This window comes from Homo sapiens, chromosome 1 (genome assembly GCF_000001405.40).
Source record: "Homo sapiens chromosome 1, GRCh38.p14 Primary Assembly".
Classification (NCBI taxonomy): domain Eukaryota; kingdom Metazoa; phylum Chordata; class Mammalia; order Primates; family Hominidae; genus Homo; species Homo sapiens.
In genome coordinates this window covers 54,025,359-54,026,680 of record NC_000001.11, presented here as the reverse complement: position 1 = coordinate 54,026,680, position 1,322 = coordinate 54,025,359, and positions in this window count along the sequence as shown.

Below are 1,322 nucleotides of genomic sequence, written 5' to 3'. Positions count from 1 at the left end.
TGCTATCTTGTAAAAGTGTCTACTTAGGTAATTCACAATGGGGTGGGTTTGTTGATTCCCCATGACATTTGCAAAGCCCTTTGTAGCACTCTCACCTATCACCTTAAATGGATTCTTATAACATCCATCTAGTGGATTAAAGACTTAAATATAAAACCCAAAACTACAAAAACCCTGGAAGACAACCTTCAGAATGGGAGAAAATATTTGCAAACTATGCATCTGACAAAGGTCTAATATCTAGCATCTATAAGGAACTTAAACAAATTTACAAGAAAAAAACAACCCCATTAAAAAGTGGGCAATGGGCATGAACAGACACTTCTCAAAAGAATATATACATGCTTCCAACAAGCATATGAATAAAAGCTCAACATCACTGATCAAAATATTTGCAAACTATGCATCTGACAAAGGTCTAATATCTAGCATCTATAAGGAACTAAATTTACAAGAAAAAACAACCCCATTAAAAAGTAGGCAATGGGCCGGGCGCGGTGGCTCACGCCTGTAATCCCAGCACTTTGGGAGGCCGAGGCGGGTGGATCATGAGGTCAGGAGATCGAGACCATCCTGGCTAACAAGGTGAAACCCCGTCTCTACTAAAAATACAAAAAATTAGCCGGGCGCGGTGGCGGGCGCCTGTAGTCCCAGCTACTGGGGAGGCTGAGGCAGGAGAATGGCGTGAACCCGGGAAGCGGAGCTTGCAGTGAGCCGAGATTGCGCCACTGCAGTCCGCAGTCCGGCCTGGGCGACAGAGCGAGACTCCGTCTCAAAAAAAAAAAAAAAAAAAAAAAAAAAAAAAAAAAAAAAAAAAGTAGGCAATGGGCATGAACAGACACTTCTTAAAAGAATATATACTTGCCACCAACAAGCATATGAATAAAAGCTCAACATCACTGATCAGTAGAGAAGTGCAAATCAAAACCACAGGCCGGGCACAGTGGCTCATGCCTGTAATCCCAGCACTTTGGGAGGCCGAGGCGGGAGGATCACGAGGTTGGGAGATCAAGACTATGGCCAACATGGTGAAACTCCATCTCTACTAACATACAAAAAACAAAAAAAAGAAAAATTAGCCAGATGTGGTGATGTGTGCCTGTAGTCCCAGCTACTCAGGATGCTAAGGCAGGGGAATCGCTTGAACCAGGGAGGCAGAGGTTGCAGTGAGCTGAGATCATGCCACTGCACTCCAACCTGGTGAGAGAGCGAGACTCTGTCTCAAAAAAAAAAAAAAAAACCCACAATGAGTTACCATCTCACACCAGTCAGAATGACTGTTATTAAAAGGTCAAAAAAATAACAAATGCTGGTGAGGTTGT